Genomic DNA, 16,585 nt, shown 5'->3' with positions numbered 1-16,585 from the left:
TATTCTAAAAGGCTTTAAAAATAGGGACTATCAGGCAGGGCTCCGTGGCTCACACCTGTAATCCCAGCACTTTGGGAGGCTGAGACAGGCGGATCACAAGGTCAGGAGTTCAAGACCAGCCTGACCAATATGATGAAACCCCGTCTCTACTAAATTAGCCAGGTGTTGTGATGTGCACCTGTAGTCCCAGCTAATCTGGAGGCTGAGGCAGGAGAATGGCTTGAAATCGGGAGGCAGAGGTTGCAGTGAGCCAAGATCCTGCCATCGCATTCCGGCCTGGGCGACAGAGTGAGACTCCCTCTTAAATAAAAATAAAAATAAAAATAAAAATAGAGATTATCATGTCATTCATTAAAGGGTTAACTATTAAAGAGTGTGTTTGCTAAACATTTTACAGTATAAAGCCTTCCTCAGAAGCCCAATTTTGAAATATCCTTACTCATCTTTATGGCATGTTAGACTTTATGCCAGGGAGCTTTTTAGTCTACTATTCTTTGGATAATTTTGAACTCCAAGCCCACGGTCACTAATTCTGATGTGCTGATGAGCACTGCAATCCTGGCTACACCAACTGGACACTAAAGATATCACAATATTGGATGTTTTCTTACGATGTTTTTGGGAATTTTTCTAAAAGGTGCCAGAACTTTCTAATTTTATTTCTCACTGGTATATAGGCTCAAACAGAGTAGAGACCATATTTTTTGATCACTTCTGTATACACAGTGTGTAGAAGAAACAGGTGCTCAAGAAACATTCTCTGAATATTAACGTAGTGATTCCGTGCCCATGCTGCTAGCATAGGCATAGAAAAAAGGAGTGAGCATGTGAAATAAACTTATTACAGTCAGGTCTTGATTTAATTGTTCTCTTATTTCTACCCAAGGGACATGTTTCCCTCAGTGTTAGGATAAGAGAAAGTCAGGTTGGCCTCACTCCACTAATATTTCCATAGACACAAAAAGGTCTTAAAGCTAACTTCGAATTGTTACAAGTTTTCAGAAATAGTCCTCTAAATAAAAGCATTTGCTTTAAATTTAGTTGAAAGCACTTCTTGTTCCCCTTCTCTGATGATGACTTTTTCTAAGACACTTATTGTCCATGACCCCAATTGCTCTAGCTCTTCTTTATTAATTTGGAGCACTCTGGGGGCACCACGAGCCAGCATCAGGCCTCCTGGCTCTGCCATAGTGTGGCCGCAGGGCAGCAGGAGGTAGTGGGGGCTGTAAGAGCTACAGGAAGGGAGGAATTCAGCCCCAGAAGCAAACTCAGTGAGTGCTACCAATCTACAGACTCATGCCCTTAACTCTAGGAAACCGTTTTATATTAATTATTTGGTAATTTGCTAATCTTCATTTTCACTGCTTTATTGATGAATCTCATTATATTCAATTGTGGTGGTTGTTCTTCCTTGTCTGATCTTCTAAGTTGTTTATCTTTTCTCTCCAATTTCCATCTTTTTGTTCTACTTTGTCATAGATTTCTTTGTGTGTGTGTGTGTCTTTAAACTGTGAAAATGTAAACTTCTGCTATATTTCCATTTAATAATAGCTTTTAATTTTATTGCAGTTGCCTATTTAGAGCATCTATTTATTGTAGGAAAAAACTGTTCTTGTCACATGACCAGGAAAGATTAGGCTTGCAGACACATATAAGGGTGATGAGTGGAATTCATTGAGCGAAAAGGAAAAAGGAAATACAACTCAGCAAAGTGAGATGGAGTCCTGCTAACAGGCTCTCTACTTCACCAACTGAATCCCAGATTACTACACAGGGACAGAAGAGGCCAGCCTCCCCACCCCCCACCCAAACTAGCGAGAACTTCTCCAGGCCCAACTCCATCCTCCGAATGCACAAGACAGCTGGGGATTCTCTGGGGAGCCCTTTTAACTTGGCTGTCTCAAATTCCTATTTTAGGTAAAAAGAAATACATCCATTTTGTTTAGAATGCAATATATTTTGTAATATTCTAAATAAATATATAAATATATACATACATATATGTATTTATATATACAAGTATATAAATATATTATATTTATATATACATGTATGTATGTGTGTGTATATATATATATATATATATATATATATATATATATATATATATATATTTGGTGTGCCAGTGTGCCCTTTTTAAACTCTCTTCAGCTGCCTGCTTTATCTTTTATTTCTTGGAATTTCTTTTTTGCTTATTTATTTCTGTTTCTGTCTTCCAAGTTGGAGGCATTCCTCAAATACCTAGTGGTTGTCTCTTTCTAATTAAGAGTGAATTACCAGTAGTATGGTAGATTAAATAGCAAGAAAACCTTTTTTGTTCCCAAACAATTGAAGTTTTGAAACAAATATGCTTGTGTATTTAAAATATGCTCATTTAAAATATAGGTACAATTAAAATATAATTACTTATATATGTACACATGTATGTACACATTGATGTACTGTCAAGAGAGTATGCAGAACCCTCAGAAGCCAACAATAAAGTTAAAGGAGAAGTTCAGGGAGCTAAGCAAGAAAGCACTGCAGACAGCAGCAGGGCCTGGGTCGTTTTCATATTCCTGGTCTCCTTGGGCTTCACATTGGGTGTCCTGGTAATACAGGTTAGGAAACAGAGCTGAGTTCAGCCTGAGACTGGAGGTCAAGTTGGAACACACAGCATAAGGGTCAGGACTCTAAAGGACTCTGTGAAAGGCTGAGACAGGAAAACAAAATTAAACAAAGCAAAAAATTACAGAACAATAATAGTAACAAAAGTTGTGTGTAAGGCAGAAAGGAAAATTTACATCTTTTATACCTTGAGTGAGTTGAGGGGGAAAATATGTCTCCTGAGAATTTGGTACCACAAGCCAGCTCTCCTGTGAGTTGGTGATGAAAATTTCTGCTACTTTCAGAAACCGAAAAACTCAAGTCTTGGATTTAATTTAAAGGAAGTCACTATAAATTTCAGAGGATTGGCATCCTATAGACCATATTCCCTAACAATAATGCAATAAATATACAAACAGATAACATACAGAAGATTTAAAAAGCTTTCATATTTGAAAACGAAAATAAATAATCCAAGAAAAAAACGACTTATATGTCAAAAAGAGATCTCAATAAACTTTAGAGAATACTTAAAACTGAACAAGAATGAAAAGTTTGCATATCAGAACTTGTGGAATTCACTCAAATCAGAATTAGAAGGTAACTTTATAGGGTTAAATACTTTTATTAGAGAAAAGTCCAAAGAGCAATGAGCTCAGCATCCATCTTTCCACATTAAAACATTAGAACATATATAGGAAAATTTACCCAAAGAAAATAAAAATAAAGAAAAAAATTAATCTAAAAATAGAAATTAATGAAACAAAATAATCATACCAAAAAAAGCTTATTTGAAAAGAATAATAATGTTGGAAAACCTTCAGCTTTACTTATTATGATAGTCATTAGTGCTGTTTGCTAAGTTTTGTGGCTCCCTGTCTTCTGGAAACATAGCAGAGTTGCACTTTTTGGTCTTTGTGTTTGAAGGGGAGGCAAGTGACTCTTTCTACCCATTAGGCTGGTGTAGAAATGGCATGTACTACCTAGAGTCTAGAATACTAGATTGCCAAAGTGAGATTTCCCTGGTGTTTTTTATTCTGATATCATGACTAGCAGTGTTCAAGATGGTTTTCCTTTATCAACCTGAGCTTCTGAATGGCTATAATGGGAAGAGATCCCCACTATGAAGCTGGGAAGGAAATATTCTAGACTTATTGAAAAATAAAATGTGATGTTTTAAGTCATTGAATTTTTTTTTTTTTTTTTTTTTGAGATGGAGTCTTGCTCTGTCACCCAGGCTGGAGTGCAATGGCATGATCTCGGCTCACTGAAACTTCCACCTCCCGGGTTCAAGCGATTCTCCTGCCTCAGCCTCCTGAGTAGCTGGGATTACAAGTGAGCGCCACCACGCTCGGCTAATTTTTGTATTTTTAGCAGAGATGGGGTTTCACCATGTTGGCCAGGCTGGTCTGGAACGCCTGACCTCATGATCCACTCACGTCGGCCTCCTAAAGTTCTGGGATTACAGGCTTGAGCCACCGTGACCAGCCTGTTTATTTTAATAGCAAACAAAGAGTGTAAAACATAGGTTGTCCTGGCCAATGCTCTTTAAGAAGAGAGAAAGGAAGAAAAGAAAGACAGACAGAGAGAGAGAGGGAAAGAGAGAGAGAGAGGCCCACGTAGAGAGAGAGAGAGAGACAGAGAGAGAAAGGGGGCAGAGGGAGGAAAAGGGAAAGAAAAAAGGAGGAGAGAGGAGGAGAAGAGGGAGGAAGGAAAGAAGGAATGAAATAAAAAAGGAAGAATTAAAATCACTGGAGAAGACCAAAGGAAATACGTTCAGATGACGAACGCATTAAAAATATTATTTAAAATGTTATATACAACTTAATGAGAAAATGAATATATTTTATTAAGTTTACGTATGCTTACAGAAATTGAATTTAGCAAACAGATTTAAGAAGAAATAGAATACTTGAATCACTCTATAAACATCAGCGTATTAGATCAGTAGTTTAAATTCTTCCCATAAAGTACACAAGTGGACTGGATAGTTTTACTGGTTGTTCTACCAAATATTTACTGTGCAGGTAATTACAACTTTATGCAGACTCTCCCAGGGCATTGAAAAAGGGGATCACTTTACAAGGCTGGTATAAACTTCACTAGAAAACAAGAAAGCAAAAATTTGTTGTCAAAGACATTCATTAACATATTGATGTCCCTATACCTTCACCTATTATATTTTAACCTCTCCTGTGTTCCTTTGTCTCTATCTCAATCTATTTTGGCACCACTGGTCTCTTAAATTTTCCTTAGATACTCTAGACACATACCTGCCTCAAGGCATTGACATTTAGTTTCCCTCTGTTTGAAACCTTCTCCCAGGAGTTCGAGACCAGCCAGGACAGCATAGTGAAACCCCATCTCTACTAAAAGTACAAAAATTTAGCTGGGTGTGGTGGCGGGCAGCTGTAATACCAGCTACTAGGGAGGCTGAGGCAGGAGAATCGCTTGAACCCAGGAGGCGGAGGTTGCAGTGAGCCAAGATTGCGTCATTGCACTCCAGCCTGGGCAACAAGAGCGAAACTCCATCTCAAATAAATAAATAAATAAATAAATAAATAAATAAATAAAATAAACCTTCTCCCAGATAGCCTCTTGGATGATCCCTTTACCTCCTCCAGACCATTTCACAAATGTCATCACAGTTATTCCTTCCCTGGTCTCTTTATCAGAAATTGAAACTGATATTCCAGTACTCCTTACCCCACCTCTTTGTTTAGATTTCCTTCCTTGAACTTTTCACAATCTCACCTATATTTCTTCAGTATCTTGTTTATAATCTTGCTTGCACCTCTACAATGAAAGCAGAGATTTTCATTGATTTTGTTTACTTCTAAGGTCTCAGCAATTAGCATAGTGTCTGACACCTGGCAAGGGCTCAATAACTGTTGGATACATTGATAAATGCAAAAGTATTGAACAAAGTTAGCATGACAAATTTAGTGATGTATTTTTAAAAACCCAGTGACACCATTTTTTTTCTCATGAATGCAAGTTTCACTTACATTAGAAAAATTTATTGAAATGGTAGATAAAAAGAAGAAAAAAAATTATTTTACCAGATGGGAAGCATATGATAGAATTTAAAACAAGAGACCATCTTTAACCAATAAAACAACCGCAAGCATCAAACTTAATGGTAAAAGCATAAGTATCAGGTAAAAGCATAAGTATCGATAATATCAGGATCACAAAAGATACCTTTTCGCATTACTTTTAATTTCCTCTCTGTATTTTATCCAATAGCGTAAGACAATAAGAAGATAAAGTAAAAGGCACATATATTGAAAAAAAAAGAAATAAAGCCCAAAATTTTCACAGGTGGTATGATTATCAACTTAAATTTAAAATAATCCACAAACTCAAAATAATTCACAGAATCAATGAAAGAATTTTAAAGTTTGTGGATAAAAAATTAATATCTAAATTACATAAATAATTTATACAAATGCAAAAAGACCAATCAGAATCCCAATGAGTTAATTTGTGTAATCAGACAAACTGTTTTTAAAATTGATTGGTAAAGTAGAAGGGCAATGAATAGCCATGACATTCATGAAGAAAATGCATTGGCTGAGGCAATTTCCTCCACAAATCAAAACATACTATAAGGCAGTGTGGTATTGGCCCAACTGTTACTGGAAAGGGGTCCCCATCCAGACCCCAAGAGAGGGTTCTTGGAACTTGAGCAAGAAGAAGTTCAGGGCAAGCCCATAGAGCAAGGTGAAAGGAAGTTTATTAAGAAAGTAAAGGGATAAAGAATGGCTATTCCATAGACAGAGCAGCAGCTTGAGCTGCTTTACCAAGGATTCTTACTGTTACTTCTTGATTATATGCTAAACAAGGAGTGGATAATTCATGAGTTTTTGGGGAAAGGGGGGAGCAATTTTTGGAACTGATGGTTCCTCCCCTTTTTAGACCATGTAGGGTAACCTCATGACTTTGCCATGGCATTTGTAAACTGTCATAGCACTGGTGGGAGTGCCTTATAGCATGCTAATGCATTATAATTAGCATATAATGACCCATGAGGATGACCAGAGGTCACTCTAGTTGCAATCTTGGTTTTTGGGTTTTAGCTGGCTTCTTTACTACACCCTGTTTTATCAGCAAGGTCTTCATGACCTGTATCTTATGCTGACCTACTCTCTCATCCTGTGACTTAGAATACCTAACCCACTGCATATGCAGCCCAGCAGGTCTCAGCCTTATTTCACCCAGCCCCTATTCAAGATGGAGTTGCTTTGGTTTAAACACCTCTGACACAGTGATAGACAGACTAATGGGACAGAATAGACAGCCCTCAAACAGACCTATACCTCTCTGGACACTTGATAATGACAAAAATGACGTAGGTCAGGAGAAGAGCAATCAGCCGCCTGGTAAATAATATTAGGAAAAATTTATCAATGAGTCAATTGTCAGTCTATTGTAAATCTCACTTCTCAACCTCTCCTGTCAATCACTTTTCCAGAATCCACAATTTTGTTGGCCTCTCTTCTTTGTTGTCTGTCTCTCCTGGTCTTTTTCTTATTGGTTTAGGTTCTTTTCCCTTTATTTGTTTTGATGCAGTTTGTGGAGTGAGCAAAAGCAAAGGCATGTATTTGACTTCACAATGTTTAAATGGAAATAAATTAATCAATGTCTTTTTAAAAATGTCAGTATCTTTTTTTAAAGATAACATATCTTCACAGCTTCTATTTTCTTTTTCTATTTCTTCTATTTTCTTTTTCTATTTCTTCTATTTTCTTTGAAATTTTGAAGTTATTTCTTGTATTAGTACAAGTCAATCTATAACTTCACTAATCTTTGGGCAAATGCTAATGTTTCAGAGGGTGTGTTGAACATCTCATAATTCTTTTAATATTTGTTTTCATGTTAAAGCTGAAGGCACAGTATTATTTCATTTTGGAAAGTATAACCAGAAAATGGATGTGAGAAATACCTCTTTGTGTATATAGGTAGTGACTAGAACATGTAAATTCAGTATTCCCTATTTGAGCCATCTGTTCTATTTGAGAATTAATGGGCCTATTTTTATTATAATATCTAGTATTGAAAATGTTTCCTGTTCAAAGTAATCTTTATCATTTTACTGGAGAGTTTCTCAAGAAAAAAATATCTTCTCCAGCACCAGCACTCCACTTCCTATGCCTTCACTAATATTCATTTAATACAGTGGCTTTTCATTTGCAGTTCAGTGAAAACGTGGTACTGGGGGCAGCAAGATCCGCAGCCTTAAAGGGTGATTGTTGGGAACCTATCCGGGGCCCAGGGGCAGGGTTGCTATGACAACTCTGCTGCTCTGCCAAGGCTGTTCCTCTCTGTGGGTGGAAAGAAGCTCCCCTGCCAGCAACTACGTGGGATCCTGGCAGCTGGAGAGAATACTGAAATAATGCGCTGCTTCCCCAGATGGGAGTTCTGAGAGTCTTCTTTTAAAACGAATAGGCAACTCGGGCTCTGTGGAAGAGTGGGGATAGTTAGGATCTAGCCCGTTACAAGTGCGAAATGTGTGTGATGAAATACTTAAGGTTTCTTCCTTTGAATAGAAGTTTGACGGATGATCAGGTCTTAAGTCAAAAGATTTTAGCTTAACTTCACAGTAGTGCAAGTTTAGAGGAATTTGTATTTGCCATAAAGGTAATATGATTCTGAGAGATTTAAATAATACTGTTTACATAGAGTAAAAAGACCTTACACTCATTTGGAAATGCACGTTATCTCAGAGTTGTCAATTTGGGTTGACCCAATTTTGGAATTTATCTCGGGCTTTTCTTTCTAAATTTGAAAGCCACTACTCAGTTGAATTTATACTTGATGCTCTGATGCAGAACTCCAGTATCCCCCTTGCAGCTGTAGAGCATAGTGTGGAGGCTAGAACTGGTCCATTTAAAGTAGAGTGGAGAAAATGAGAAATAAGTGAAACCGACCCTGAATTAATACTTAAATTAATCAGAAGTCCCCAGAAGTGGTTTTGGTGATCAGTCATGAGCTTACCACTTTATCTGCTCCTGAGCTATCCTGATTCTGATTTTGTCTTTGCTCAGTTATTAACTTTAGGCTCTAGGATCCAGCAAAGGCAATTCCCACCTATGCATTCAGTGTTTGAACTCTTCATATATGAACTTATTCTACCTTGAACAGTTTTGTGAAACATGTTCATCTATCTGGTTTTCATACTTCTGATTGTCTGCAGTAGAAATCTCCCACAACCACATCAAATCCTTCGAGAACAGTGAAAGACAGAAATCACAGATGAATAGGATTTAAAATCATGAGGCTATGTGGTATACTTGCCAAAAATAGGGATAGCTCTACATTGGGCTGGCACTAATTTTTTTATGATTATTATTTTTAAATAATCAGTGAGGTGGAAATTGTAGAACATCAAGAGACAGAATAGTTGAAAGATTTTTCTGCTGCCCTGTTAATCTCCACCCAAAACTGTGTTCAGTGACATTCAGACACTACACACATTGTTTTTAGCCATCTGCTGGTGAAATCTCTTCCTATTACATGAAATTTCAAGCTGTTCTAACCTTTTCTACTTCCCCACATTGTGTGTGTGTGGGGTGGGGGGGCGTGCACACGTGCACGTGTGTGTGTGTGTGTGAGAGAAAGAGAGAGATGTGTGTTGGGGGAGGAATGTTCAAGAAACAATTTTGCCTGCACAAACAACAGCTACTGAAGTGGGAAGGTGTTCAGACTCCTTTTTTTAACCTCCTCTGGGGCAGATGGGATGGACTAGAATTGTCAAGAAGGCCAGTTCAGTGAGCAGCATTAAAAATAGCAGACTAGCTCAATCTCTCAATATAAACTTAGTTCTCACAGGAACTTTGCAATTATCACATGCTTCATATGTTGCTATATGCATCTATGCCTTCTAGATAAAGTGCACACAGATCTTCCTATGACTTAAGCACAATAATAATCCATTTTAAAATCTTGTTTGTCATTTGTTTCTGAAGAAAAAGGAAAAGTCATTATCTGAGGGGCTTCAGCATTACAAAGACAGATTTGATCAAGGATTTTCATAAGGAGGAAATCTTTGGAATGAGGATATGTGTGTGTATCTGAGGGGTGGGGTGGCTAGAGGTGGGTACATATGGAACCTAGGTCATCCTTGCAAGTACCCTTAGCCTGTCAGCTCTCTCATCTAAATTCTCCTTTATCAGCTGTGGCTGGCACATAGTGCCTCACCAGTATTTGCTCTTGCAAAACATATATACTTAAGCATTTCTAGTTAATTTCTTAGAAGATATCTAGCAATAGCCTAGGAAATTGTGACCTTTATTTTGAATATTTACCATCATTTTCTGATGTCTCAGTTTAAATGCTTAAAGCTGTGTTTTAATAAGTAAAAGTGATGAGACTTCAAAAACCAAAAGTGACCATGATGGCCAAAGAATTTTTGACAACCACATGACAGCACAGTAATAGTTCATATGAATAATAGTTAAATTAGGCTGGGCGTGGTGGCTCATGCTTATAATCCCAGCACTTTGGGAGGCTAGGGTGGATGGATCACTTGAGGTCAAGGTTTGAGATCAGCCTGGCCAACATGGCAAAACCCCGTCTCTACTAAAAATACAAAAAATAGCCAGGTGTGGTGACGTGCGCCAGTAGTCCCAGCTACTCGGGAGGCTGAGGCAGGAGAATCACTTAAACCCAGGAGGCAGAGGTTGCAGTGAGCCGAGATCGCACTACTGTAGTCCAGCCTGGGTGACAGAGTGAGACTCCATCTTCCACCCACCCCCAAAAGTAATAATAGTTAGGTTACATCTAATAATGACAGATAACATGTAGTGAGTAGTTACTCTATGTCAAGCACTATTTTTTTATATTAACTCATTTAATGCTCATGAGAACCATATGAGAGATTATCTTATTGTCACATTTTTAAAGACAATAAGCTCAAAAGAATAAATTTGGCAAAAACCACACAGGGATTGGTGTGTCCAATGTGCTCTCATTTGCTGTGCCAGTGTCTTTCTCATTTTTTCAAACCATGAATGATAGCAAGAAGTAGATTTTCATTATGAGTCACCACTCAAATATCATATAGGAGTACTGAAGTCAAAAGAGTCAAAAATAATTTCCCTTACTACATAACATGAATTCAGATATTGTCTCTTCCAGTCTCTGTCACTTTTAATATTTGCTGGTCAAAGTTCACTGAGTTTTGAGGTCAAGAGTTCGAGACCAGCCTGACCAATATGGTGAAACCCTGTCTCTACTAAAAATACAAAAAAATTAATGGGGCACGGAGGTGTGTGCCTGTAGCTCTAGCTACTTGGGAGGCTAAGGCAGGAGAATCTCTTGAACTCGGGAGGCAGAGATTGCAGTGAGCCGAGATTGTTCCGCTGCACTCCAACCTGGGCAACAGAGCCAGACTCTGTCTCAATAAAGGAAAGAAAACAGTTCACTAGGTTAACTTCACAACATACTAACAGGCTTCAACTTACTGTCTGAAAAATTGGTTAATGGGTACAAAAACACACTTACGTAAAAAGAATAAGTTCTAGTATTCGATAGCATAGTAGGGAAATTATAGTTAAAAATAGTCTATTGTATATTTCAAAATAGCTAGAAGAGAAGAATCTTAATGTTCCGACACAAAGAAAACATAAATATTTTAGGCGGTGGATATCCCAATTACCCCGATTTTATCCTCATACATTATAAACATGTATCCAAATATCTCCTGGATCCCCAAAACTTGTATAACTATGACACATCAATAAAAATATCTGTTACAAAAAAAGAAAAATGCAGATACACAGAGTGCAAAAGAATAAATACCATTGAAATAAAACCATAAGCATGTGACATTTGGGAGCAATAAATTCAAGATGGAATGATATGCATGCATGTATGGTGAAGATTAATTATTATAGAAAGTCTGGGTTGGGAAGGAAGGGCTTCTCTAGGTTTTGCGGTAGATGAGGAAGACATCAGTCATGGCAAACATTCTCTTATTTGTGGAGGATGGGTTTATAATTAAGGAATTTGATCTTAGTATCCTTCAATGCACTCTAGGACTTCATTTGTATGGTTGACCTGGTATTGTCAGTGCAAATATACTTTCCCATAGTGCTGAAGTTTGAAAAAAAAAATTAAATTAGGTTAACAAAAATATGAATTTCTCCCTTTGTGATCTTCTACAGGGTGTTTTGAATGCTGTATCAAATGCCTGGGGGGCATTCCCTATGCCTCTCTGATTGCCACCATCCTGCTCTATGCGGGTGTTGCCCTGTTCTGTGGCTGCGGTCATGAAGCGCTTTCTGGAACTGTCAACATTCTGCAAACCTACTTTGAGATGGCAAGAACTGCTGGAGACACACTGGATGTTTTTACCATGTAAGTCACTCTAGTATTTCTTGTTATTTTCCATGTATATATTTACACTTCTATGTGTTAAATGATTAGGGGCCTACAGTTAGATGAGGTGATAATATATATGAAACAGCACTTTTAGGGTATACCTGATTCAAAAGGGTAATCATGATTCATGATTGCCTTCACAGTCAATAGAAGGCACGTAGCACAGGATCAGAGGCCGACTTAATCAGGACTTAACCAATGCTTTAAATGTAAAGTTGTATTCGAAATTTGGTTACCATTAAGTGGAATTCTGGGACTTCCCTTGCTCTTCTCATTTGAACAGAGGCTGTTCTATTAGAATAGTGCCAGGTACAAATCTGGCCCTTGCTACTAATTTTAGGAAAATCAGCAAAGCTCCATGGGTGCTCCCACCTTTAAAAGAAATAAACTCAGCCCTGGGTATGGTATCTTACTGTTGCTGTTACATTTACAGAAATGATGTAAATATTGTGCAAAGTTCTTATTGTCTTCTGTAAAAGAGTAAATCATAAGAAATCAAGCAACCTTTTTTTTCAAACACCAATTATACTTTTCTCTCATAAAATGTAAAACTCCTAAGATCACTATGATTATGTTAAAATAACTTTTTTAGAAAAGTAACTTAAACAGTCTGAAAATTAAAGTTTGCTGTTGAAATTTCAGCTCCTTATTGCATAATATAGAGAACAAAGGTTTGGGATTGAATTCTAGAAACGTTTATTGCTAAATAAGTTACTAATTCAGATAATTTATTCAGTGATTTTTATGCCCATGAAAAGAAAATAATTTATTAGTTTGTTTGTAATCCCAGCTGATAATAAACTTGTCTCCTGAGCCCTTATAGCTTTTGTTATATTTATAACTTCTTGTGTTTATTTCATGCTGTTTGATACCTGTGTTTGTAATCTTCTTCATGTTCCTTTATTTTGTCATTCTAAATAAACTCAAACATTCTTAATGTATATACATTTTTAACTAATATGATGCTTTTAGATTTACAAATCTGAGTGAGTATCTGGATGGTTAGTGTAGCTTTGCTTTTTAATCTTATCATTCCATCTAAGAGAGGTTGATCACAATTCTCATTTATGCAGGGCAATTCCTGTTGAACTGGTATAATTTTAACCTAAGATCCTACTCTGAAAAAACACTTGGTCAACCCAGACAACTTTTTAGGTAGAAGACAACTTTTCTCCAACTACAATATCAGGAATATATCATATTGCTAAATTTCTTATACTCCATCAGGTTTAGGCAGATTATCTTGAACAAGGTATTTTTCAAAGTAATTTTCATAAATTGTTTTTCATAAAAGTATATTTCAAAGTATTTTTTATAAATATCATAATTTTTTTTTATTTATTAAAGTTACTAATTTCCCCTGAAAATGAAAAGAGAATAGAGTTGTGGGCCGGGTGTGGTGGCTCATGCCTGTAATCCCAGCACTTTGGGAGGCTGAGGTAGGCAGATCACTTGAGGCCAGGAGTTCGAGACCAGCCTAAGCAACATGGTGAAATCCCGTCTCTACTAAAAATGCAAAAATTACCTGGGCATGGTGGCACAAGCCTGTAATCCCAGCTACTAGGGAGACTGAGGTATGAGAATCGCTTGAGCCCAGAAGGCAGCTCCAGCCTTCGCAACAGAGTGAAACTCTCTCTCAAAAAATAAAAATTTAAAAAAATGAGAATAGAGTTATACATTTCTATCAGGTAACAGAGCAAGAATGCTCTGTTTTGGGGGGTGGGTGGACAACATATACCCCTGGACAGAGTACATAGCAAAATTTTTAGTAAAAGCAAAGCTGAAATATTTGTTTATTTAAAACCTGTTGATACTTAAAACCTAGAGAAAGACTGATAAGAAAATAAGAAATAAAATGAGGAAAATGAGATTGAGAAAACCCAGTCCCCTCCACCCCCCACACATACATGGGGATTAGAAGAATGGAACTGATTAGCTACTAAATTAAGAAGTGAAATTATTATAAAAATATAGTCCATAACTCTGTAGTATCAAGTGAGAGCTTCGCTAAGGTCATGACAAATGGGAATGAAGAATTAACAGCAAATTGAAAGTTGCATATTATATTTCCCAATGTAAATTTATTTTACTAATTAGTTCTGAAAAATTGACGTTATCCATTAAATTGAATCCTTTAAGCATTAGTAGACAGTTTATCAGTTTTCATCAAACTAAATACAAACCTATGTATAAAACCAAAATTCAATAGCTATCAATGCCTTAGATTCAAATAGCATGAATCAACCCTTTAAAGATTATAAGTCATATTCATCATTTGGAATATAATTAAAATGCTCTAGATTATTGCAGGTTAGCTTTTAGAGAGTCTTAAGAAAATGATTGCATGGATATATTTTAATGTGATAAAACTGACATTTTCTAGATTTATCTCAGCCTACCCTGGACAAAATATGTTCTCACTGTGCATTATTTTAAACCATCACAGATGTCCTTAACATCTACAGATTCTCTCTATGTAAACTACATCCAAATTGCTAAATTTACTTATAGAATTACAAGTTTGTAAGAAATCATAAGCCTAATGAATGGCAATAGATGCTTATGTACATCTATCAGCAATTATTTGTTAAGATATTTGATATTTAAACAACAAACTTTCATATATTGTAGAGATCTACTAAAGCTCTAAAGGCAGTGTATGTAGGGGTGAGGGGAGTTTAGAAGAAAGATTGGAGATTATATGCTTAATTTGGTAGTTTTACCTTTGCTCTGTTATATTATGTATTAAATGTGAAACCAATAATGCATGTTTGGAATGGGAAGAATACCATTTTGATTGGAATAAAAGTAAATGTCAAAATTATCTCTGTTTTCATATTTCACATTACTAAAATTCCTTATACAGGCCCTGCAGAGCTAACAAAGTATTTGAGACTCTCTCCCTACCAACAAATAGTTCATGAAAACACAGAGGGAAAATATGTACTGTAAACCTCTTAATACGATTAGTGCCAAGTGATAAATTTAAAGATTACATAAAGGTTTCGAGGAGGTAGATATTACGCTATGCAGGGCTGCCTTACGGGGTATCAGAGGAATGGAAAAAGTGCTGAGGAAACAGAAGATGTAAAATAAGCAAACAGAAGGCAGAGGAGGCTGAATGATTCGTTTGCAGGCCATACATCTCCTTGGAAATCAACTAAGGTAGGTTTGGAAAAGAATGTATAAGAGCATAATTGTGGAGAAAAGACTTACCTAATTTTAGTAATTTACAGAGTCTATTTCTTTTCTCCATAGTTCTCATACTTAGTTCAACCAAATTCATCACTCCTACATTATATACTTGGAAAAGAAGCTTGTTTACTGGATGTGTGAACTAAAAGATAAAACCAGTTCCAGTTGCCCAAGCCCTGAATCTTCCATCTGTGGTGCTCAGGATTTGAGGAGTTACCTACTTCTTTATCTCAGGGACCACAAAATTTCTCTCTCCCTCTCTTTTCCTCTCTCCACTATCTCCCTTCTCTTAAATACATACACTTATCTCAACATGATCAATATTTCCAAGTCCAGAGGGAGACATGAAAGGCAACAGCAAACGCAATGACGTGTGACTATTCGGTTTCACTAATCACTTGTCCAGAATGCAAACCATACTGACCATAAATGAGCTTGCAAATAATCCTCATTCTTATGTAATCTGTATTTTAGACATATAATTCTAAATACTATCAGCCCCTGCCAGTGGGAGCTGGCCTGAAGTTGAGCTCCTAAACTCTTAGCTGATATCACCCATTATACTGTTTTGTCCCATTACATTTGAGGTGTGGCAACCTCCAGAGAGAGAGAAGAATGTATTTCTCAAAGAATTTCTCAAAGATTTTGTTACTCATTTATATAACTCATTTATAGTCATTTGTATAACTTTTAGTACTTCTCTGTCTCTTGTCTATTTTCTTCCCCAGAAGCTTTTAATCCCTTAATTTTCAGCTTAGTTTCTCAAAGCCAGGTCATTTGTTAGTTCCAAACTGTTTTGATAAGAAGTGTGCAACTTCTTATCCATTAGGAGTTATTTCTACACTCTAATCACAACTTCTGTTGGTTTAGCATTGCCATTTAGGCCCACTCAGCACTCAAAACAGCTCTGCCGCTTTCTGCTATGTGATGAGGAGGACATTTTTTTCATCAGAAAAATTGTGATTCAGACTTTCTCTTGAGAGACATTTGGAAAGGTGTTATTACTGTGCTTCATAAGTCATTTGACAAACTAAGTAAGAAGTAGGGTAGGTATTTTGCTTCTGTGAAGCAGATTCATTTGGGACAATAAAATATGGAGACTGTTAGAAAATTAGATATCATACAGAAATCCAAACCACTAATTTTGCTAAGTGACTTGGCTTTTTGAATAGCTCTCCAAAGGACTGGGCAAGGAACAGTCTTACTCATAAGCATGCCCTCCTGTAGCTTATAAGATAAAGACTGTATTTGGGTGGTCTTCTAGAGTGAATATTTTATTTTCAAAATTTTATTAATTTTTTAATGACTGTAATTTCAAGTTAACACATCAAAAACTGAGTTCACTACCTAGTGAATTCTTTAATATTGCATGCACATATAAAATAGTTCCTATTTACCTAAAACAAAATAAATCAGT

At 36.6% G+C, this 16,585-nt stretch overlaps 1 protein-coding gene across 8 annotated transcripts in view; it reads left to right on the top strand.

Moving 5' to 3' along the window:
* Positions 1-16,585, top strand: part of GPM6A (glycoprotein M6A) — a 369,457-nt gene that overhangs the window by 288,870 nt on the left and 64,002 nt on the right. For 5 of the 8 annotated variants that reach the window (NM_201592.3, NM_005277.5, NM_001388090.1 and 2 more), the window contains one exon: positions 11,757-11,949. The exons of 2 other annotated variants lie outside the window; for them this stretch is intronic. In NM_201592.3, the coding sequence (NP_963886.1) occupies positions 11,757-11,949 (193 nt within the window). Of the gene's footprint in view, positions 1-953; positions 966-11,756; positions 11,950-16,585 lie in introns of those variants that run through there. One more of the 8 variants, NM_001388091.1, reaches the window with a different exon arrangement.

The sequence above is a fragment of the Homo sapiens genome, chromosome 4, assembly GCF_000001405.40.
Source record: "Homo sapiens chromosome 4, GRCh38.p14 Primary Assembly".
Classification (NCBI taxonomy): Eukaryota; Metazoa; Chordata; class Mammalia; order Primates; family Hominidae; genus Homo; species Homo sapiens.
This window is presented reverse-complemented; position numbering and strand designations above follow the sequence as displayed.